At 34.3% G+C, this 25351-nt stretch overlaps 1 long non-coding RNA gene across 1 annotated transcript in view; it reads left to right on the forward strand.

The window, feature by feature from the left end:
* DISC1FP1 (DISC1 fusion partner 1) overlaps window positions 1–25351 on the forward strand; it is a 663821-nt gene that overhangs the window by 340621 nt on the left and 297849 nt on the right. The window contains exon 3 of the long non-coding RNA NR_104190.1: window positions 10953–11056. This is a non-coding gene — a long non-coding RNA (DISC1 fusion partner 1). The remainder of the gene's footprint in view (window positions 1–10952; window positions 11057–25351) is intronic.

Below are 25351 nucleotides of genomic sequence, written 5' to 3' on the forward strand. Positions count from 1 at the left end.
GAGAGGATATGGAGAAATAGGAACACTTTTACACTGCTGGTGGGACTGTAAACTAGTCCAACCATTGTGGAAGACAGTGTGGAGATTCCTCAAAGATCTAGAACTAGAAATACCATTTGACCCAGCCATCCCATTACTGGGTATATACCCAAAGGATTTTAAATCATGCTGCTATAAAGACACATGCACATGTATGTTTATTGAGGCACTATTCACAATAGCAAAGACCTGGAACCAACCCAAATGTCCATCAATGATAGGATTAAGAAAATGTGGCACAAATACACCATGGAATACTATGCAGCCATAAAAAAGGATGGGTTCATGTCCTTTGTAGGGCCACGGATGAAGCTGGAAACCATCATTCTGAGCAAACTATCACAAGGACAGAAAACCAAACACCGCATGTTCTCACTCATAGGTGGGGATTGAACAATGAGAACACTTGGACACAGGGTGGGGAACGTCACACACGGTGGTATGTTGTGGAGTGGTTGGGGGGGAGGGATAGCATTAGGAGATATACTTAATGTAAATGATGAGTTAATGGGTGCAGCACACCAACATGGCACATGTATACATATGAAACAAACCTGCACGTTGTGCACATGTACCCTAAAACTTAAAGCATAATCAAAAAAAGGCAGGGTGCAGTGGCTCATGCCTATAATCCCAACACTTTGGGAGGCCAAAGTGGTCAGGAGTTCAAGACCAGCTTGACCAGCATGGTGAAACCACATCTCCACTAAAAAATACAAAAAATTAGCCAGACATGGTGGCACATGCCTGTAATCCCAGCTACTCAGGAGGCTGAGACCGGAGAATCACTTGAACCTGGGAAGCGGAGGTTGCAGTGAGCCGAGATTGCGCCACTGCTCTCCAGCCTGGGCAATAGAGTGAGACTCCATCTCAAAAAAAAAAAAATTATTATCAGACAGAAAATTGGTAAACTCAGTTTCTCTAACAATTACTTTTTTCTCCTTTCCCATTTCCTCCCATCTTATTTCAAATAAAAAGACTATTTTTATAAGAACATTCACATAAAGATTTACATGATTCTATTTGTTTATATTGTTAAGTCTAGTGATCAGGAATACTCTTAGTTGGAGAAAATATATCTCTGGCCGAATGACATTAGAGGAAGAATTACTTTGATTTAGATTAGCTACTAATACATCTATTCAAAGTGCTTCTTTTTAAGAACCTTCAGCTGTCTTCAGATGGTTTCTTTCTGGGTGTTAACCTGGCAACTAAACTTGGTAGTTAAGGTGAGGTCTCTGGAGTATGGCAGATCTTTCTGGTTTTGACTCTGTAAGAACTGGAGCAAATTGTTTAACCCTTTGGGCTACACTTTCCATGTAGAGTGGGACATTAGGGTAATGTATTAGTTGGATCTGTAGGACACGGAGGCTAGAGAAGGTGAGTGGATAGGGAAGTAGGCTGTTAACTGTGAGAGCAAAATTTGGCACTGAATCATTGTTCAAAAAGAGGAAGCAGAATTGAATAAACTTCAATGTGGTCCTATACATGTTGACCAAAAAAAAAAAAAAAAACTATTTTTGCCAAAGCATTGATTTCACTGGACAATCCACAGAGTGCATAATGGGAATTCTTGGCAAAAAAAAAAAAAAAAAAAAAAAAAAAAATCTAGAATGACAACAAAAAAATTTGACCTCAAAGTGCATTCCTTTTAGAGAGATGTGCTGTATCAAACATATATTTCCTTAATCATACAGGTAACAAGCTATAATTACATTAATCAGATTCTATTGTTGAGTCTTTAATGCCAGCATAACTCAGAAAGCTTTAATTAAATGATATAGATATTTTGCATAATCTTTTCAGGAGAAATTTCGTGTCTCAAATAAAACTTCAAGGTAATCCCATGTCAATAGTGAATATTCCAGTACTTATGATCCCCTGGATGTGATACTTTCTGATGCATCTGAACATACTACACACTGCTACTTCACAGATGACTTCTTAGCCTTCTTTTCTTGAAGTCTTTCCTTAAGATCATCACTGAAGTTATTTCTTCCAAGATCCTTGCTTTATCCCATTTCTTTGCCCTCAGGCTGGACAGGGTGCTCAAAATTAGTCAGAAATTGTAAATACATTAGAAACATTCTAGAGAGTTGTGATTTTTCATTGTTTTGATTTCTTTTTCATTTTGTCTTGAGGGTTCTCTGTTGCGAGGAACCATAAGCCAAGACAGCCCCTCTCTAGGAGAACCCTGACAGAGGGAAAGTTAGGTTCAGGTGTGTCAGTTAGGTGAGCTACAATGAGGAGGTGAAACCAAAATGCTGGAACCAGAAAGCAATTTATTATTTACAGATCTCAGAGAGGTTAGTGGTGTCAATGGGGAGGTGAGGCAGGAAAAGTCTGGGGGCAGCATGGAGCTCAACCAGCAGGCAGGGAGCAAGAGAGAGAGAAAGGACCTGTGGGACTATATCTTTACTAAAGTCCATGAGCATTATTTTTTAGGCTTTCCCACAAGAGGTGAGGACTGGGTAGTTTAAAAAACACATGTGGAAGAGGAAACATTTTCATGACTCTGGTTTTATCATCGTCAGCAGCTGTTGAGTGTGCTGGATTTCAGGTCAGTGGGACAAGGAATAATAATGCTATACCACAAACACATCCACACGGTAGGTAAGTTTTTACTAAGCCAAACGTGACAGGATATGATTGTTTTAAACAATTTATGTCAGGACTAAAAATGGATGCTGAGACAGCAACTGTATTAAACAAATTTATAACAATATAACAATAGTTTAAGGAGAAAATTATTAAGTGTTATCAACAGCTTACAATATTTTTAGGAAGAGCTCACATTGTTTTCCAGGAAGACTGATGAAAAGAACTCTTAGCTAAACTTCCAGGAAAACTTCCAAAATTGCAGCTCAACAAAGCCAAGGGAGCTGCTACCTCTACCAGGATTTGCAGACCCAAGAAACTGCTGCTGTGGCCACTAGCTCTAGAACAAGCCACCTCTGCCATAATTGGGTGGCTGCCAAATCAGGGTCAAGTGCTTTATTGAGAAGTGGTCAGCTCTGGAACTACACAGCTTGTTGATATATATCGTCAAAATAGAAATTTTCTGCACTCTGCCTCTCTTCCCAAATAATTTAGTACTTTTAGAGGCTTATATAAGCAATATTATTGGTGGATCCTAAATCATATATGGGATGCCAGTTATACAGTGGAGCAGAAAATTCAGCTTTTTAAAGCACGCTAATCTGTCTTTTCCACCGAGAATGGAATGCCAAAAAGTGTTGAACACAGAATCTGACGTATGCCCCTTCATTGTGCCCACTAGGAATTTATGTGTGGCACTCACCCCCTGCAGCAGATAAGGATTATAATATTATTGCAGCATGTCTGTGATTTTTAATCAGCTATATCAGCAGGGCCTATCTCACAGTACTGTTATAATCTCAAATAAATAAATACATAAAAATACTTCAAAGTGTAATCCACACATTAAAAACTCTAAAATAACTGTTATTATGACTTTACCTTCTTGCTTGTATATCTACCTCGATTGCAGATTCCTTCAGAATAGTGACTATATCCTTATTTTATAACCTAGTGCCTATCAGAGCATCTGGCACATATTAGGTGACCAATAAGTCTTGGTTAAAATATTATAAGAGTGTAAATAATCTTTTGTTGTGTTTTCCTTAGAGATTGAGGCCATAGAATACTAAGGGTATGCATTGATATTTATTAAAGATCCTTGACTTTTAAAAAATGGGGACAGTTTGCATAGATAATGAAATCAAATTACTCATTTTTGTTTATTTGCAAGTCAAGTAAAAATAAAATGGTTAATGAGTATGCTTTCTAAAAAACATTTGATATATATTAAAAATTATGGCAGACTCTTCTGTTGACTCACATATAACTTAATCAGCAATGTTAAAAAAAATTTAAACCTATTCGTCAATACATTTATCTCTACATATTATGGAGGGTATTATTTCTTATAATAAATGTAACCTAGATATTCTGTTATTTATTACTCATAAACCAAATGAAACATAGATTGGCTGGTAAGAGATGATACTGCATGTGTTTAATTTATGGGATTCGGTGGTGAAAATTTTTAGATCTGAAGTTTGAAAATCAGCAAAACAATGTGTTATTTTAAATATTTATTTTTACCAAGTATTTTAAATTTTTCTGAGTCATTACTTTTGTTCTGGTTTTTATCCTTTTGTAAATGATTTTATTTTTAGGTAACTAAAATCACTCTAGCTTTTTTGAGTTGAAAGGGATGTTTGATCATCTGCTAACTTCTCAACTCTGGGTGGCACTCCCCTTTGTGCAATCCTTACAAGGTGGTTGCCCAATTTCTGCTGTACTATCTTAAAACATTCAGGATGGGAAACCTTTCACCTCACAGTGTAGCCTTATTTCCTGCATTATAATTTCTATAAAACCATTTTTTTAAAAAAATGGAAATCTGTTTTTCTCTGCCTCATACTTCTTGGTTTTATTTAAGTAAAAATAAAGGCTTTAAAATACGTTACTGATCTTACAAATGGAATGTTTATTGTTTTTACACGTTTGAAAAAGTCCTCAATTCTACCCCAATTGTCTTCCTCCTTATGTTGATAAATTGTACACTAAATGCCTATCGAAAATTTATTCTTCACCCTATCCACTTCTTCCTGATCCAAGATTTCTATTCTCATATTTCAGGCAAGGGAATCATTTTCTTTCACTAAGAAGTTTTCCCCTTCAGTGCTTCTATCTGTGAGGTCTCCTTTAGGACTACCACAAATCTATAGATTAGCTTTCAACTGCAATATGGCTATACTTGTAAGAATTACATGTTCTACTCTTAAACTGTCTTGTGAAAAAAGAGCTTTTTTTTTTGAGGCAACATCCCTTTGTCACTGGCTTAGTGGATCCTGCCTCACAGGGCAGAGTCTTTTTTACTTTCCACACCATATACAAGGCAGAGGTGGTAGCAGTGATCAAACATCAGAGGTGGTCTTCTAGGCAGATCAACATAAATTGTCCAACCTAAGTAACAGAGAAACTAAAAACTGTGAAAGATGCAAACACAGCCTCAGGCAACTATCAAATGATATCAAAAAGTCTTACCTTGGTATCATTGGACTGTCAGAGAGAAAAAGAGATAGGTATGCAAAAAATATGTGAGGAAATAATGATCCCAAATTCTGCAAATTTGAGGAAAAACAAGTTGGAAAATTCAACAAACTCAGTGAACTTAACAGGATGAATTCAAAAAATTTACACTCAGACACACTAAGTCAGACTATTGGAAACCAAAGATAAAAAAATACATCTTTGTGAAGCATCCAATTTAAAAGTGGTACATATCATATAAAGAAACAAAGATTCAAATTACTTCAGATTATCCACCAGAAACCATGAAGATTGAAGACAGTTGAACAACATATTTAAATCACTGATAGAAAAGAAACGTTATCTTATTCCTACAACTAGCAAAAATTTCTTTCTGGAATAAAGCCAAAATAAAGGTATTGTCAGATAAAATAACAGAACCAAACCTGGTTAGTAAAATAGGTCATTTTTTGCTGCTTAAGTTTATTAAATTATGTATGGCTGTTGAAAGCTAAAATTATAACACTTTCTGATGGGAGTTTCAATGTAAGTAGATGTCACATCAAAAAAGCAAGAGAGTAAGGAACTGTTTTTAGTAATAAGAAGTGGTTTTGTACGAGTGTTGTAATCTCTAAAGCAGCAACTATATTTAATTGCAGTTGACAAAATGGAATTCTAAAAAACATTAAAAAACAAGCAAAATTTAAAAAGGGAACACAGAGGAACAGAAATAAAAAGGAAGGGCCCACAAGAAGACCAATAATAAAATGGCAGACTTTAATCCATCAATAATATCGGAGGTAAGTCTAAGCATACCAAATATAAAGAAAAGCCATTTTAATTTTATGTTTTAAAATACCTTTTTATCTACTATTTATAAACAATACACTTGAAGCATATTGATTTAAAATAGTGTGGTAGAGAAAATATCATGTCACTAGCCATTTTAAAAAACAGCTCACGTGTCTTTAGTAATATCAAGCAAAGCAAATTTTAAATTTTAGAATGAAGAAATTATTAGGGACAAAGAGGAATATTACAAAGTGATGATGTCAATTCACTAAGAAAACATAATACTTCTAAATTTATATACACCTAAATCCAGATCCAAAATACATAAAGCAAAAGCTGATAGACTGGAAAGATCAGTAGATAAATTTACAATTATATTTGAAAACTTCAACACTCACCTATCTGTAATCTATAGAATGAAAATAAAAAAAATAGCAAGGATGAATTAACTGACATTTCTGAAATACTCCACTCAGCAAAACAGAATACACATTAACACAAAGTGCACATAAAACATTCAGCAGGATAGACCACATTCTAGATCATAAAATACACACTAATAAATATAAGACAATTGGATTTATTCCAAATGTACTCTTTGGTCATATGGAAATTAAACTAAAAATCAATAACAGGATGTCTGGAAAGTCCACATCTATTTGGAAATTAACACAGAACTAAATAATCCATATGTCAAAGAATATGTCTCAAAGGAAACTAGAAAATATTTTGAAAGTAGAAGTAGAATATATCAAAACTTATGAGATGCAGCTAAAATGTTACAGAGATGGAAATGTATAGCAATACATGCTCACATTAGAAAAACAGGATATTAAATCAGCAATTTTAGATACCACCTAAGGCACAAGAAGAGAAAGCTAGTGCTAAACCAAGCAGAAAGAAGGACATGAGAGAGATTAAAGTAGGAATCACTAAAATTAAGAACAGAAAATCAAAAGAATAATTTATTAAGCCAAAAATATTTTTTAAAGCATCAATAAAACTGATAAACCTCTTGACGGTTTCTCCAATAAGAAAAGAAAGACAACACATTGCCAACAAGAGGAATAATATTAATATAGATGGTAAAGGGATAATAACAAAATAGCTTGAATGACTCTATGCACATTGGTTCCACTACCCAGATGAAATGGGCCAATTCCTTGAAAGACAGAAACCGCTAAAAGTCAATAAAAAATAAGTTAATAATCTATGATGCTATATTTTTTAACATAAAGTTTTAGTTAAAAATTTTTTCAAACAAAAGAGAACACTGCAGAAGAAAACATTTGCTGGAGAATTTTATCAAACATTTAAGGAATAATTAGTATCAGTTGTATATCATCTTTTATGATAGCAGAAGAAATACTTCCCTACTCATTTTATGAGGCCAACGTTACTCTGATACCAAGACCAGAAAACGACAATGAATGAAAAGAAAACTCGAGGCCAGTATCCCTCATATGTTAAATGACTGTGAGCTACTTCAACACGTTTTATAAAATGGAATACCGCAATATATAGAGAGTATGATACACCATGGCCAAATAGTTTTACACCAGAATTCAATGCTAATTCAACATTTGAAAGCTAATCATTCGTTTCCACTATATTAGTAGACTAAATAAAGAAAAACATGATCATATCAATAGCTGCAGAAAAAGCATTTGACAAAATTCAGAATCCATTTTTTGTCTTAAAAATTGAAGAACACTATGAATAGAAAAATATCTAATTTTTTTTTCTCAGATGCTATCATGCAGTGAAAGACTGAGCACTTTCCCTGCAATCCAGGTACATATGACTACTCTTGATCTCTCCTATTTATTATTGTGCTGCAAGCTCTAGAAAGTACACTAAAGTAAAAAATAAATAAATGTATTCTAATTGTTAAGGGAAATAAACTGCCCTAATTTACAAATACAATGATTTTATAAGTAAAATACACCAGTGAATACACTAAATAGCTTTAAGAGATCATAAGTAAGTTTAGAAAGGCCAAAAAAAAATCAATCATGCACCAAAATTAAGAATTAGAAACCGAAACTTAGAAAGAAAAAAAAAAGACTACATTTTACAATATGCTTCCCATCCTAATAAAATATTTAGGTACTGATTTAGCAAAATATTTGCAAAATATATATGGTGAAATCTATAAACACTGATGACAGAAACCAGAGAGGATGTAAATAAATGGATAATAGTTTTACTTTGTTAAAAACTGAAAGATACAGTAAGATCACTTCTCTCCAAAATGATGTATGGAGTTAATGGAATCCCAGTCAAAATCTTCGCAGAATTCCTGATAGATACATAAACTTTATTCCAAAATTTATATGGAAATCTCAAAAACTTGAATTGTCAAAACAATTGTTTAAATTACAATAAAGTTGGAGTTATGTGATATTAAGTCATATTATGAAGCTACAGTAATGAAGACAGTATAGTACTGACAAAATAAAACATGTAAACCTATTGAACAGTATACAGACCTTCAAATATGGCCAACTGTTTTTGACAAATGTGCAAAGACAATTATATGGAGAAGAGCAAAGTTTTCAACAAATGGTGCTGGAACAGTTGGACGTTCACATACAAAAATAATGAACCTGTAATATCATATGCAAAAAATTAACTTTAAATGGTTCATGGATTTAACTGTAAATGTAAAACACTGAAGAAAATATAGAAAAAGTTCTTTATGACATTGGTTAAGCAGATAGTTCATAAATGCAAAATCAAAGCGTTACCCAAAAAATAAAAAAGAAGATAAATTAGACTTTATCAAAATAAAAAAAAATGTTCTCTAAAGGACTTTATACAGAAAGAAGTAAATCAAAAGTAGGCTGGGCATGGTGGCTCATGCCTGTAATCCCAGCACTTTGGGAAGCCGAGGCTGGTGGATCACCTGAGGTCAGGAGTTCGAGACCAGTCTGGCCAACACAGTGAAACCCCGTCTCTACTAAAAACACAAAATTAGCTGGGTGTGGTGGCACATGCCTGTAATACCAGCTACCTGGGAGGCTGAGGCTGGAGAATCCCTTGAACCCGGGAGGTGGAGGTTGCAGTGAGCCAAGATTGCACCTCTACACCCCAGCCCGGGTGATAGAGTGAGGTTCTGTCTCAAAAAAAAAAAAAAAAAAAAAAAAAAAAAAAAAAAAAAAAAAAGCAAAGCAAAAGTAGTAGAAAATATTTACAAATTATAATTTTGAAAAAGGAATTGTGCCCAGAATAAAGAATACAAAAAAAAATCAGCATTAGGAAAACAAACAACCCAACAGAAATTAGTCAAACATTTGAATAGTCACTTAATTAAAGAAAATATCTGGTTGTAAAATAAGCACATAAAAAAATTCAAATTCATTAGTCACTAGGAAAATTCAAGTTAATATCATAATTTGACACCATTAAAAACTTATTCAAGTGGTTACTATAAAAATATTGGCATTTGTTACATATGGATAGCAGAGAAAAAAACAAACAAACAAAAAGAGTTCTGACAACAAGGACTATAAGAATGAAGGATAACTGAATAGCTCCTGCATTGCTTTGCTAGAGAAATACAAATGCTACAGACACTAGTAAACAGTTTGAAAGTTAATTACAAACTTAAAAATAGAATTCTCTTATATCTCAATAATCACATTTATAACTATTTATTCTGGAGAATGCAAAACATATGTTCACAGAAAACCTGAACATCTGGGGGTAATTTTCACCCAATGAGAGATTGTCTGGAAACATTTTTGGCTTTTCCATCTGGAGAGGAGGGTGCTACCGGCATCTGGTGTGTACAAGACAGGGATCCTACTAAACATCCTGTAGTGCACAAAACTGTTCCCCATAGCAAAGAGCTATCCAGCCCAAATTATCAATAATGCTGACATTGAGAAACCCTGCTGTACATACAAGCTTATAACAGCATTAATTGTAACCACTAAAAACTAGAAACAATGTAAATGTCCCTTAATGACTAACTTGATAAATTTTGACATATGCATATAAAGGAATATTCTCTGAAATAAGAAGGAACAAACTGTTCCTACACATGCAACAACTTAGATAAATATCAAATGTTTTATGCTAAGTGAAAGATGACAGACTCAAAATGTTATATACTGTATGATTCCATTCACTTGATATACTGATAAAGGTAAAGCTTTAATGATAGTGAAACTTTTTGTGGTTTCCAGGGATTAGGGCTCGAAGTTGAGTCTATCATGAAGAAATCATTAGGGGTGCTAGAATTATTCTGCCTTATGTTAGTGGTATTGGTTACATGAATCTATGAGTGTTAAAACTCATGGGATTCTATACCCAAACAGAGACTTTTACTACAGGCAACTTAAAAAAAAAAGTAAGTTTATTAATGCAATTCCTGTAATTCAGTTTTATTGTTAGAAATATTATATTAGCAGTTTCCTGTAAGCATCCCATAGCTTCACAAAAGCTTTCATTCATTGTGATATGATTGTTATATGCTAGATGCTTATATACATTATCTAATTCAACTCCCACAACACTGTAAGGAATATGTAATTCTGATTTTACAACTGGACAAATAGTTATTTGTACAGTACTAACTGGGGGTGGTAGAATATAAATCATGCCAGTAAATTATAATTTTACTGTTATTTTCAGTTATTTTTCTGAGATATTAAATTTTAATTCTCAAAGGCTATATATCTACCTTTCTTTTAACTAAAAAGCACACAGAAAGAATAATGGTGAGCATAGCATTTGCATTTTCTTCATTCTTCTGACTTTTGATTCTGTACTTGGTATTGTTTAAAATTTTTTTCAAGTGTTCATCTTTTTATTAAAAATCTCATATTATTATGACTATCAGGAAAAGCTGTAATTGGTTAACAAATCATTGTTAACACATGATATGGTTTGGCTGTGTCCCCACCCAAATCTCAACTTGAAGTGTATCTCCCAGAATTCCCATGTGTTGTGGGAGGGACCCAGAGGGAGGTAATTGAATCATGGGGGCTGGTTTTTCCTGTGCTATTCTCGTGATAGTCAATAAGTCTCACAATATCTGATGGATTTTTCAGGGGTTTCTCCTTTTGCGTCTTTCTCATTTCTTTTGCTGCCACCGTGTAAGAAGTGCCTTTTGCCTCCTGCCATGATTCTGAGGCCTCCCCAGTCATGTGGAACTGTAAGTCCAATACAACTTATTTTTATTCCCAGTTTTTGATATGTTTTTATCAGAAGTGTGGAAACAAACTAATAACAGTAAATTGGTACCAGTAGCATGGGGCATTGCTGAAAAGATACCCAAAAATGTGGAAATGACTTTGGAACTGGGTAATAGGCAGAGTTTGGAATAGTTTGGAGGGCTCAGAAGAAGACAGGAAAATGTGGGAAAGTTTGGAACCTCCTAGAGACTTGTTGAATGCCTTTGTCAAAAATGCTGATAGTGATATGAACAATAAGGTCCAGGCTGAGGTGGTCTCAGATGGAGATGAAGAACTTGCTGGGAACTGGAGCAAAGGTGACTCTCGTTATGTTTTAGCAAAGAGACTGGCAGCATTTTGCCCCTGCCCTAGAGATTTGTGGAACTTTGAACTTGAGAGAGATGATTTAGGGTATCTGGTGGAAGAAATTTCTAAGCAGCAAAGCATTCAAAAGGTGACTTGAGTGCTGTTAAAAGCCTCCCATTTTAAATGGGAAACAGATCATAAAAGTTCAGAAACTTTGCAGCCTGATGTAGTAGTAGAAAAGAAAAACTCATTTATTTGAGGAGAAATTCATGCCAGCTGCAGAAATTTGCATAAGTAATCATGAGCCTAATGTTAAAGCTCAAGACCATAAGGAAAATGTCTCCAGGCCATGTCAGAGACCTTCACAGCAGCCCCTCCCATCACAGGCCTGGAAGCCCAGAAGGAAAAAGTGGTTTTGTGGGCTGAGCCCAGGGTCCCAAGCTGTGTGCAGCCTAGGGACTTGGTGCCCTGTGTCCCAGCCACTCCAACCATGGCTGAAAGGGGCCAATATAGAGCTCAGGCTGTGGCTACAGAGGGTGGAAGCCCCAAGCCGTGGCAGCTTCCATGTGATGTTGAGCCTGTGGGTGGACATAAGTCAAGAATTGAGATATGGAGGGGCCAGGGGCAGAATGATATGGTTTAGCTGTGTCCCCACCCAAATGTCAACTTGAATTGTATCTTCCAGATTTCTCACATGTTGTGGGAGGGACCCAGGGGGAGGTAATTGAATCATGGGGGCTGTATTTTCTTGATAGTGAATAAGCCTCATGAGATCTGATGGGTTTATCAGGGATTTCCGCTTTTGCTTTTCCCTCAAATTTCTCTTGCTGCCGCCATGTAAAAAGTGCCTCTTGCCTCCGCCATGATTCTGAGGCCTCCCCAAACACGTGGAACTGTAAGTCCAATTAAACCTCTTTTTGTTTCCAGTTTTGGGTATGTCTTTATCAGCACCATGAAAGCAAACTAATACAACACATAATTTTGTTTTTGTTTTTTTCAATCTAATGAGGAATACTTCATATTTTTACTCACATTTTAGAGTTTCTTTGTGTGTATCCACAAGTTTCCTCCCAAGATTTCTTGGCCTTGAACAATCTCTGACCAATGAAGTGTTTTCATTTATCTTTACTACCTATAATACGAAATATTTCACTTATGAATCTCTTTATCATTGTATTTATAGATAGCATCTTTTTATTTCATTTCTCAATAATAACAGACAGATTGTGAAGGAGAAGCTGTGGAATTCTAAGCATCCTGACTGACTGTGCTCCTTCTCTCGTATATAATGAAGCACATCTAGATCTCAGTGCTGTTATGCAAGATGTTGGTACTTTGGCTTTTTACAAAAACTGTCTTCGGAATGATTTCACTGAAGCATTTCTTCACCTAATCCCATTTGATACTACATGTATTAAATATGCAGTATTTTATTAGGGATAATGAAATAATACTTCAGAATGATTTTTTTTGCATTTAGAAGCAAAGCTTTTGCAATTAGATCTTATTTTTAAGAATAATATCAACAAGCACATAGCATGCTTCATATATGTATTTTTTAATTGAAGATAGCTGCTTTTTTCAAATAGAGCTGTTAATGCTCTTCGATATTATTATTATTATTAAGTATTCTTTCAAACTAAAATTTAAAATGCACAATTTGCCTAGATGCTCTGAATTATGCATTTTTGATATAACAGTAGTAAGCCATTTTTATAAGTACAAATCCTCCGATAATAAATTTCTCACACGGGGCAGGGGTTCTCAGTGGATAGTATTCAAACTTTGGTGCACTTCTGTGGTGGGAAGACCTTCAATAAGCGCAAAGTATACTTTAGAAAGTATACACTCTAGGGTAGATTAAGGTTACTTGTGTGAGAATATTAATTCTAAATGAATCCTATAAACTTATTTCTCTAAAGTCTCTGATTGATGTAAGAATCTTGTGATAAGGAAAAGACACTAAATTGACTCTAGCCATGTTGGAGGTGGCATTACATTTGTGGCAGCATAACAGAATGTTTAAAAGCATGGTTAGAATGGTGGCAATCCTAGTTCAAACCTGGCTCCGTGGCAAATTACCTGGGTTATTGTAAAGTAAACTGTGAACCTGTTGTCTCCTCAATTCATCTACTTCTTTTTATGTAGCCTATGGTGTCATTCATTTTTATAGCAGCTGTAACATACATAAAACTCATTAATTTACCATAGGCTGTAAGATTGCAGGCCCTGGGGAAAAAAACTATGTGCATTAGAATCCTAGATCCAACTTACTAGAAGTGTAAACTTCAGCAGATACACTTAGCTTCTATTTCCTAATCTGTAAGATAAACATAACAGATCTACCACATATAGTACACAAACTAATATAAATCACATATTCAGTACCAGGTAGATAGAATTATTCAAGAAATAAGATAAAGTGATGATGACAACATTTATATCATGCTACATAAGTGCCATCCTCTCTGTGTGAGAATTTGCTTCTGTACCTGAGGGAACAAGATTATATTTGTACCCACAAATACCATCTTGTATATTTTAGCTTATTATTCAACATTTTTTGGATATTTTGGGGTCTTGATTCTGTACCTTGGTTGTGTCATATCTACCACATATGTGATGAATAGTGCCTTCATTTAGGGTAATATTAATACCATGTAACAATACATATCTGAGTACCAAACTCTAGGGGCAAGTTAGTAAAATTCACCATTTAAGAAAATATTGGTTTATTAGAGATATTGTATTAATAGAGATTTTTCTAAATATTGGATAGTCACATACCTAAGTATTATGTAAAATTAAGTTCTCAAGCTGGGCAAGGTATTGCATGCCTTTAATTCCAGCTACTTGGGGTGAGAAGGTGAGGAGTTGAGGCAGGAGGATTGCTTGAGTCCAGCAGTTTGAGGCTAGCCTGGGCAGCATATCAAGACCTTCATCTCAAATAGAATGAAATAAAATAAAATGAGATAAAATAAATTGCAGTTCTTCCTGCAGAGCATAGAATATAAACAAGATAATCAAATGCCTTTTTTAATGTTTAATTTTTGTGGGTACATAGTAGGTATAGTAGGTATATGTATTTATGGAGTTTGTGAGATATTTTGATACAGTAATGAAATGTGCAATAATCACATCATGGAAAATAGAATATCCATTTCTTCTAACATTTATCCTTTGTGTTACAAACAATCCAGTTATACTCTTTTAGTTATTTTTAAATGTACAAATAATTTATTTTTACTATAATCACCTTGTGCTATCAAATACTTGATCTTATTCATTCTTTCTAACTTTTCTTACCCATTAACCATTCTCATCAATCCCCGACCCCAGCGCTACCCTTCTCAGACTGTGGTTACCATCTTTCTACTCTCTATCTCCATGAGTTTAATTGTTTTGATTTTTAGATCCTGCAAATAAGTGAGAATATGTGATGTTTTTCTTTCTGTGTCTGGCTTATTTCACTTAACATAATGACTTCCAGTTCCATCCATGTTGTTGCAAATGACAGGATCTCATTATCCTTTATGGATGAATAGTATTCCATTATATATATGTACCATATTTTCTTTATCCATTCATCAGTTGACAGACACATAGGCTGCTTCCAAATCTTGGCTATTGTGAAGAATGCAGCAACACACATAGGAATGGAGATATGTCTTCAACATACTGATTTCCTTTTTTGGATATATACCCAGCAGCGGGATTGCTGGGTCATATGGTAGCTCTATTTATAGTTTTTTGAGGAGCCTCCAAACTCTTCTCCATAGTAATTGTACTAATTTACATTCCCACCAACAGTGTATGAAGATTCTCTTTTCTCCCTATCCTCTCCAGTTACTGCCTGTCTTTTGGTTATAAGCCATTTTAACTGGGATGAGATGACATCTTATTGTAGTTTTGATTTTCATTTATGTGATGATCAGTGATGTTAAGCACATTTTCATATACCTGTTTTTCATTTGTATGTCTTCTTTGAGAAATCTTTTCAGATCTTTTGTCCATTTTTAATCAGATTATTAGGTTTTTTCCCTATAGAGTAGTTTGAGCTCCTTATATATTCTGGTTATTAAACCCTTGTCAGATGGGTAGTCTGCAAGGATTTTCTTCCATTATGTGGGTTATCTGTTTGCTTTGTTGATTGTTTCTTTTGCTGCGCAGAAAAACTTTTTAACTTGATGTGATCCCACTTATCCATTTTTGCTTTGATTGCCTGTTCTTGTAGGTGCTTGTAGGGTATTTTACTCAGGAAATTTTTGCCCAGAAAAATGTCCTAGAGATTTTCCCCATTGTTTTCTTCGAGTAGTTTCACAGTTTCAGGTCTTAAATTTAAGTCAAAGTTCTGGCTTCCTCTGACCAAGTAAGTGGCTAAAACCACTGAACTCCATTGGCACACTGTTTAGAACTAGGGAACAGTAAAAATGATGGTACATTTGCTTGTATTCTTGGCCTTATATACATTATTTGCATTCCTTGTACACTGTTTAGATAGTAAAATGACAGGAAAACAAGCTTAAACCTTACCTAACTGGTCATTCTTGCTAAAGGTCTAACCCAGACCCACCTCTGTGGTCTTGCCTACCTCTTCATGATATTTGAAATTACGACTCTTGAAGGAAATTATGTAGAATCTGAAAACAATAAGCTTAAGAAAAAAACTCTATATTGTGTGATATTATTAATTTTAGAACTTGGATATTAAGTATTTATTGAGAACTTTGGTAGGCCTGGAGGTATGTCATCTGGATTTCCTCTAAGATACCTGTAAGAGAACTTTTGTGAGAATTAAACAACATAAAATATGTCAAGTCCTGTAATAACTACCAATTAGTTCTTGGAACTTTACCTGAGCCTCTTATTTAACTTTATTCTCATAATACACTGTAGCTAAGTAGGCTTTGAAATGGTGTTTCTTTGAAAATCCAAAAAGGTAGATACAGGTCTGGAACCCAGGACTGCAAATCTTTTCCTTGCACCAGTAGATCTTACAGGATCTAAGGCAAACGTATATGAACTTTGGCTTTATTTTTACTGCAAGTTAATGCTGGAAAAACAGGGCAATTTTTCACAGAGAGAACATCCTAATAATATCAGTTTAGTACAAAATAGCGGCATCTTAGTGAACCTTGTATTTTTCCTTTTTGTTGCAGTTGTTGCTAGAAAACATAATCGGAAGGTAGCTATTCTTTTACCATTATTGATTTTTCTGCACTTTCATTATTTGGGATCAGGTAAATGCTGGTTTCTTTTGTGGGTTTACAGAAAGAACATATCAAACAGAGAGTTAAGGCTCCCAAAGAGACCAGCTGTAAAGAGAATACTTCAATGGTGGTGAATAAACAGATAAATATCTAATGGGGTAACATCATACCTATTTGTTCCATTTGATCACTTGTTCTTTGTTGTAACAGAAGCTTGATGTATTTTTTTTCAGAAAGCCTGAACCTGGCTGATGTGCTTTGTATGTGGTAGAATCATATAGTAAAAAGACCAAATGCTTTGAAATTACACTCATTTAGGTTTAAATGTATGCTGTATCTTTTTTCCCCCCCATGGGGTTATAGGTATTTTTAAACTCCACGAGTGTCAGTTATTTTTTCTTCTTAATAAAAATAGATGATCATAGTGCCTACTTCATAGAGTTGATATATAGATTAAATGAGATAATTATGCAAAATATCAAATACTCTTCTGGATGCCTTATAAAGACTTAAGCAAGTTCTTACTAATGAACTATTATTCTGTTAAACAAATCTATTTATTCACTCTATCAATTAAATATTTGTTAATTATTCCTATGCGTCAGATGATACTCTAGATGCCAGTAGTCCAGTGGTAAAGAAAGTTCTTGTTCACAAATAAATACATGACAACATGTGATACAAAAAATTAAGCAGCTTAAGTGCTTAGAGATTGCAAAGTGGTATTATTTTACATAGGGTAGTCAGGCAGATGTCTCTGAAGGTGTGACATTTGAACCACGAACTAAAAGACACAAGGGAGCAAGCCAAGCAAATAGTGAGAGAAGGAGTGTAAGAGCAGAGAAAAAAGCAAGGCAAAGCCTAGAGATCATAGTGTGCTGCAAATGATTGAAAACCAGAATGTGGAGAGAGTGAGCAGAGTGGTAGGAAATGCTGTGGAAGAGGTAGTGTGGGGAGGAGCCTTGAGAGCCAAGTTAAGGAACTTATTCCAAATGTGATGAAGAGAGGCCCTTGGGGAATTTTGAGCAGAGGGCTACCAAACCTGCCTTACATTTTTAAATTCTTGGTTTGAGAACAGCCTATAGAAAGGTGAGAGTGAAAGCAGGGAGGCAAGGTGGGGGCCTGGAAGTTTCAAGGAAATAGATAATGAAACTTTGGTCTGGTGGCAGTAATAAACCTTGGTAGAAATGATGAGATTCTGAATAATTTTGGAAGCAAAGTGGAGAATAATTATCTGACAGATTGAATGTGTGTTTTGAGATAAAATTAACCATGAAATCTTGTGTTTATCTTTTGAACTTTTCTTGTATTTATTTTTTGCATGAAACATGCAACTGTTGAAAAGGCAATACAATGAATCTGATTTATGCACTATTCACCTCCATAACTTGAAAACATAGCCAAGCTTGTTCCAGATACCCCTTGTCTCTTCCTTTGAATTGCTTTGATGCAAATTCCAGATATCTCCTTACTGATCTATAAATACTTCAATACATATTCTAAAGTATAAGAACTCCTTAAATTTTTTAATTGCAATATCATTATCTCACTAAATTAACAATAACAAAATCAAAATTCATTTGGTGTTTGTATTTCTCTGAATGACTTACAATGTGTTTTTGCTTATGTGTATTTGAATAAAAATCTAGGAAAATCTATACATTGTAATCTATTGATATGCCTGATAAGTTTCTTTTGATTTGAGAATACTCTTCTCTCTCTCTTTTTTCTTTTCTTTTTCTATTTGAAATTAATGTCTACATATCCTGTAAATTGATAATACTAATTGATTTTTTTTTGCTTTTAGGGGACTAGGCTACTATAGAGATTGTGTGATGTATTACCATCATGTGATAACCAATGTCTTGTTCTCTCTGTTTTTGTAACAGTTATAATTATTAGTTACTAATTATAACTGTATGATTCACTAATTTGAAAATTCAAATTTCTTCTTCAGTTTTGGCTGGAATACTACTGTAAAGAGATTCTTTCTCTCATCAACATTTTGATTACACAAGAGTACAGATAAGTATTGCAATCTTTCCTTTTATTAAATGTCCTCTGAAAGTGACCAATGAGGCATATATTTGTTTGTTTGCTTGAATCTTTATGAACTTATGGATTTAAATCTATTTGATATTTAAATTGTCCTGACTTTGACCAGTGAGAGTTTATTTGATTTGGCGTTTGAGCCATTGATTGGATGATGCTCAGCTACACTGAGGAGAGCAAACCACTTTACTGAGTTCACCTATTCAGATGCTAATCTCATCCAGAAACATCCTCATAGACAAACCCAGAAATAATGTTTAACTTGGGCATTCTCTGATCCTGTTTAATTGAAACATAACATTAACTATCACAATATATTAATTTTTTACTTTATCTCTTTTTAACCACTCTAAAACATTCAATTCTTAAAGACATAAATGTCATTACTTCACTGATATTTCCACAGTGCGTGTGTACCTGGGCATGTGTGTGCATGTGGATGCACAAACAAAATAATTGTCTTAGAATAAAAGTATAAACATCACCCCACCATAGATATAATTGCCAAGAGCAGTTTAAGATATTTTAGCTTTTCTCTTTGTGCTTAAGGAAGATATAGTTAAATTTTATATATATATATATATATATATTTTTTTTTTTTTTTTTTTTTTTTTTTGAGATGGAGTATTGCTCTGTTGCCCAGGCTGGAGTGTAGCGGCATGATCTCAGCTCACTGCAACCTCCGCCTCCTGGGTTGAAGTGATTCTCCTGCCTTAGCCTCCTGAGTAGCTGGGATTACAGGCACCCACCAACATGCCTGGCTAATTTTTTGTATTTTTAGTGGAGACGGTATTTCACTATGTTGGCCAGGCTGGTCTCGAACTCCTGACCTTGTGATCCGCCCGCCTCAGCCTCCCAAAGTACTGGGATTACAGGCATGAGCCATCATGCCCAGCCAAATAATTGTTTTTAATGATCACTTGGAATATTTCTCTGTGTATATATTATGCTACCAAATGAACACAAATTATGTTCATTTGTTTAATTTCCCTTTTTTTTAATATATTTTTTATTTTTATTTTATTTTTTTGAGAAGGAGTCTTGCTCCGTTGCCCAGGCTGGAGTGCAGTGGCTCAATCTTGGCTCACTGCCGCCCCTGCCTCCTAGGTTCAAGTGATTTTCCTGCCTCAGTGTCCCGAGTAGCTGGAACTACAGGCACATGCTACCACATCAGCCTAATTTTTGTATTTTTAGTAGAGATGGGATTTCGCCATGCTGGCCAGGCTGGTCTTGAACTTCCGACCTCAGGTGATCCACCCTCTTTATCCTCCCAAAGTGGTGGAAGTACAGGTGTGAGCTCCCATGCCTGGCCAATTTCTCTTTTTATTTTTATTAATTGTCTTACAATAATTTATTTAATTTTTATAACATTGTAAAATATACATAGTCTGTCTTAGTCTGTTCCAGACTGCTATAACAAAATACATTTGATTTATAAATAATAGACATTTATTCATCACAGTCTTAGAGACAGGGAATTGAGGGAATTGCAAGATGAAGGTGCTGGCACACTTGGTGGCTGGGGAAGGCTTGCTGTTTGCTTCACAGGTGCTGTTTTGTTGCTGTGTCTTCACGGGAAAGCAAGGCAATAAGGGGGGAGAAAAAGAATCCCTCAGGCCTTGTTATAAAGTCACTAATTCCATTCATGAGGGGAGAGCCTTCATGACCTGATCAAGTGTTTGTCCAGGCTACTTAACAAATTTGTTTTTGTTATTTATCCCCTCTCTTTATAAAGAAATTTATTTAATTAAAATTAGATAATTTCCTCCATTTTATAAAAATTCTACAGTTAAAAATACTTTATTCCTATTATCTTTTACTACAGAATCCTTTTTTCCCTCCCCCAAGGTCACCAATAATTGTCATCAATAATTTCTGTGTTGCCAAATTGAATAGTCTCAAACAGGCCTCACCTACTTCAAGTTTTCTGCAGCATTTGATAATTTTTTGTGTGTGTTTTTGTTTTTTAATATTTCCTACATTTGGCACCTGTCAAAACTGGAGAGTGGATAAATAACAGAAGCAAATTTCCTAGGTAGCCTGTAGGTGCTGGGTGCTGGGATCCAGTTTTTTTTTTTTTTTTTTTTTTTTTTTGGAGAGAATTGACCTCAAAAAGGAGCACAAACTTTTATCCATGGAAGGAAGAAAGATTACATAGGTATAAATACAAATAGGTTTACATGTGTTGTGGTTGAAGTGGTTTGAAATTATATTCTTATTGTACCTACTTTCTAGTGAAATATGAAGATTATATTGTTATGAGAAGTAAGAAGTTTGAGTGTAAGAAAGCATTATGAGAGGTTAGAGAAGGTAAAAGGAAGTATAAAATACACAACCAAATGAGTGGAAGAGTAGACCGACCAGAAGAATATACAGAAACATATATGTTTGGTGTTTGTAGCCGTGTTTGAAGTGAACTGTAGCAGGATGAGCCGCAGACAAAACTCCTTAGACACCAAGTTAAAGAAGGAAGGAGTTTATTTGGCCGGGAGCATTGGCAAGACTCCTGTCTCAAGAGCCGAACTCCCCAAGTGAGCAATTCCTATCCCTTTTAAGGGCTCACAACTCTACAGGGGTCTGTGTGAGAGGGTCGTGATCAATTGAGCAAGCAGGGGGTACATGACAGGGGCTGCATGCACCAGTGGTCAGAGTGAAACAGAACAGACTGGGAAGTTTCACAATGTCTTTCTATAATCTATATATAACATCAGTTGCTAGGTCAGGGGTCGAATTTTAACTACCAGGCTTAGGTCAGGCAGGCCCAGGCCTGGTTTCGGGTCTGGTTCCCTGGTTTCAGGTCTGGTTCCTAGGCACCAGGCTACCTGCCTTTAGTTTTGCTTCGCTTTCCTTTTCTGTGTATAAAACAATATAAAACAATATGAGAGGGTCTGTCTCTCTTCTCTCAAGACTGATCACTCATTATGGTTATTTGTCTTTAGAAACTTTAAGCTGTTTGAGGACTGGCAAAGACTAAGTGGATAGTTAGAATTATATAAAATTTAAGTTTTGTGAGGTAAGTAGAAGCAAGACAGAGAGCATGCCAACATAGTGAAGCTGTGTGCAAGTAAATGTCTGTAACAATAGTAATTGAAATTAAGCTAAGTAAGAAAGAATGTGGAGACACATGGAGAAATAATGGTTAAAATTTGCAAGACTGAAGATTCTGGTATTTAACATTGCATCACTTGGACCAATAGGATTTTGTAGTCACAAAGTAGGATTTCTTATGTTATGGTTTTACGGTGATGTGGTTATTAATAACAAAGTCTATGATAGTAGTTAACAAACTTTTTGGCTTGTGATCCAATATTAGAAACAGGATAGTTTGCAAATATTTTCTCCCATTCTGTGGGTTGTCTCTTTACTGTGTTGATTGTTTCCTTGGATATGCAGAAGCTTTTTAGCTTGATGTAATCCCATTTGTCCATGTTTGCTTTCTTTGACCGTGCTTTTGAGGTCTTACTCAAAAAATCTTTGCCCAGACCGATGTTATCAAGCATTTCCCCAATGTTTTCTTCTACTACTATCATAGTGTCAGGTCTTAGATTTAAGTCTTTAATCCATTTTGATTTGACATTTGTACACGTACATCACATGTGTCTCACAAATATATACAACTATTGTGTACCCATAATAATTAAAAATAGAAATAAAAATAAAGAAATTGAGAACATCCTAAAAGTCTTAGTTTGAAATTGCCATTAGGCTTTTGGAACACTCATATTTTACATTTTTACATTGAGACATACTACATAAACATACATATATTTGAATAAAAAATTTTTGAAAACAATTTTAATCCATACTACATTAGAAAATATTAAATATTTTCTATTCTATTCTGTTTTTAATATGCTTATTATTATATGCCCATTTTCATGACTCATTAAAGGCCAAAACATGTAGTTTGAAAAATAGTGGTTTAGGGTGTGACCATGGGAACTGGTGACCAAGACAGGCACATATGAGTTAGAGGAGCCCCAAATTTTGCATAGACAAATGACAAGATTATAAACGGAGGGAGAAAGAGATAAATGCAAACAGTGAGTGACAGAGGCCTGAAAGTAGGATTCAGATAACTGAAGCAAAGAGGGGAGGTGCATCACCAGCAGGTGGCCATTCGTTTTAAAAAGGTATTTTATCAGATTACTGGAGAAAAAAGATATTCTTTTATTACTGTGTGTGTGTGCATGTATGTGCATGTATGTGTATATATATATGTGTGTGTGTTTGTGTATCTTTTTGAAAATTCTATACTTTTTGCATTAATGTATCATTGTTCTCTTAAGTAATATCTGTACCCTCACTGTAAGTGCATATGGAAATACCTAAGCAAAATGCTTTTCCAGGAGGCAATCTCATGGATAAAAGTGTGCCTCTAAGATAGGATTCTGGATGTGGTTGGGTGGTTCTTATTTATAGAGAGTGTTTGAACTTATTGGTCTGCGTTTTACAAAGACATGATTTCTAAAAGGATACTTTAAGAATAGGGTGTTACAATACTTTTGCTCATGAAAAGAATGTACTAGAACTTGAAATATTTCAAACAAAATGATAGGAAATGTTAATTTTTAAAATTCCCATCTATAAGCACATTGTGTTCATTACTAATATGTTTTGGATTTATTTTTATTTGGTTATCCATAGTATTTTACTGAATTTAAAAAAATACAGCCAGTCTCAATTGTCCTGAAGGAGATTATCTGAACGGCATTTATTTTATTACATGTTAAGTTCAGAGAGGGCAAGAGGGAGCAGCCTTGCCTTTTGAGTCTGATTTTGATGATGATACCAAGGTCAAGAAAACCTGAAAAAGAGTTAAAGAAACACGAGGACAAATTTTAACAGATTTTTCTCAACTGATTTCCTGTACTAATTTAGCTATTCTGGATTTTATTTTATTTAAGAAACAGAGCGTTTTCTAACACCGATGAGTCTAAAGCCTGTAATGATAACATAATTATCTGGAATAAATTTCATAGACAAATGGAGGAAATCTGTGAAATCACTTAAGTAAAACCTTTTTATTGGGAACTTTTTATGTGTCAGGCATTATGCAAGGTACTCTTAGAATGCACATTTAAGATAAATAAATAAATAAATAAATAAAACTGTCCCACAATTCAAAACTCTTAAAGACTCATCAAGATAAATAAGCATTATTTATAAGACAAGCAATGCATATATTTATACGCCTATTTGTGATGTCTCCCCTAAATTAGATTCATAAAATGAATGCTTGTGAGAGTGATTTAAGTGTTAAAGTTACTTGGAGGATGCTGTTTTATTAACCAAATAATACTCCATTTCATTAATAATTAAATAAATATTTTTCTCTCCTCATAATGGCACCATTTCTAAAGAAGGAAAACTTTAATCTGAAAAACTGGTAATGATAGAGAAATGTAGCTTACAAATAAATATATGAGATAAAGAATATATCTCACAAATATATGAGATAAAGAATATTAATAAATTTTAAAAAGTGAGATATAAAAATGAGATTTAAAGAAAAGTAGAAAGAAAGTCTTGGGATTGTTAGCCACGGTAAGTCTATTTTCTTCATTGACACTTGGCATCTTCCGTCTGTTGTAGATGAATGCAGCTGCAACTCTCTGCCAACTATAATTTGGTTGGCAGTAATTCTACCCTAGCAGAGGGTACATGATTGCTACTTCTCCAGCAGAAACAAAGACATCGTGAAGTGTAATTCCATGTTCATGCTGCTTCTTCATTACTATACTTTATAAATAATTTATTCATTTTGCTTTATTTTAAACCCTAGGTATTTGAGTATGGCATGACATGTTTTACTCTAAACTACCAAAAAGTACTTATAATAGACACACCAACCAAAAATAATTATGATAATAATAATAATAATAAATTTAAAAGGCAGTATTTACTTAGTGTTTATTACTATGTGCCAGACACAGCATTTTGATGTATTACTTATGTAATATAGTAACCTATAAAATATCCATTATTATATAGGTTAATATAGTAACCTATAAAATATCCACCATTTTATGGGCAAAGAAATTGAGACTTAGATAAATTAAATACCATGCCAAAAATTACATACTAGTGTATTGTAGGTTAAATACAGGGTTTCTATCATTGTTTTAAGGGATAAGGGGTATTGTGATGTTATAATTTATTTTTCTCCAAGGAAACAAAGAGAAGGTTGATGAAAAGACTGAAAATCACAGGATATATTTCTCTATTTGTCCAAGTATTTGAATCACAATAAGAAAAAATCATGACACAAATGATTTCAAGAAAAAACTGTGACCAATCGCTGATAAACTCTCCATATTGTTTTTGCTTTTAAGCCTGGCAATAGTATCTAAAAGTATCAAGAAATTTGGATCAAAGCTTTCAGATACTTTAGAGGCAAGCATAAAAAAATATTAATTAGTTAACTATGAAATGATTTCTGGAAGATTTCAAATCCTGAAAGAATATCTCAAGAAATCTTTAAATATGGTAACATACCTAACAATTGGAAATATCAATCGAATTGTCTTTGAAGACTGATATTATATGGGTATTTTCTACTCAGTACATAAAACAGACATCACATATTACAATTACTGTATTTGTGTAAGGAAATGAAAACATAAATTTAAGCTCTACATTGAAATTCTATTTTATAATGCTGTGTCAAAGTTCTAGTTTATTCGGTGTAATTTTACATTAGCTTTG

This window comes from Homo sapiens, chromosome 11 (assembly GCF_000001405.40).
Source record: "Homo sapiens chromosome 11, GRCh38.p14 Primary Assembly".
Taxonomy (NCBI): Eukaryota; Metazoa; Chordata; class Mammalia; order Primates; family Hominidae; genus Homo; species Homo sapiens.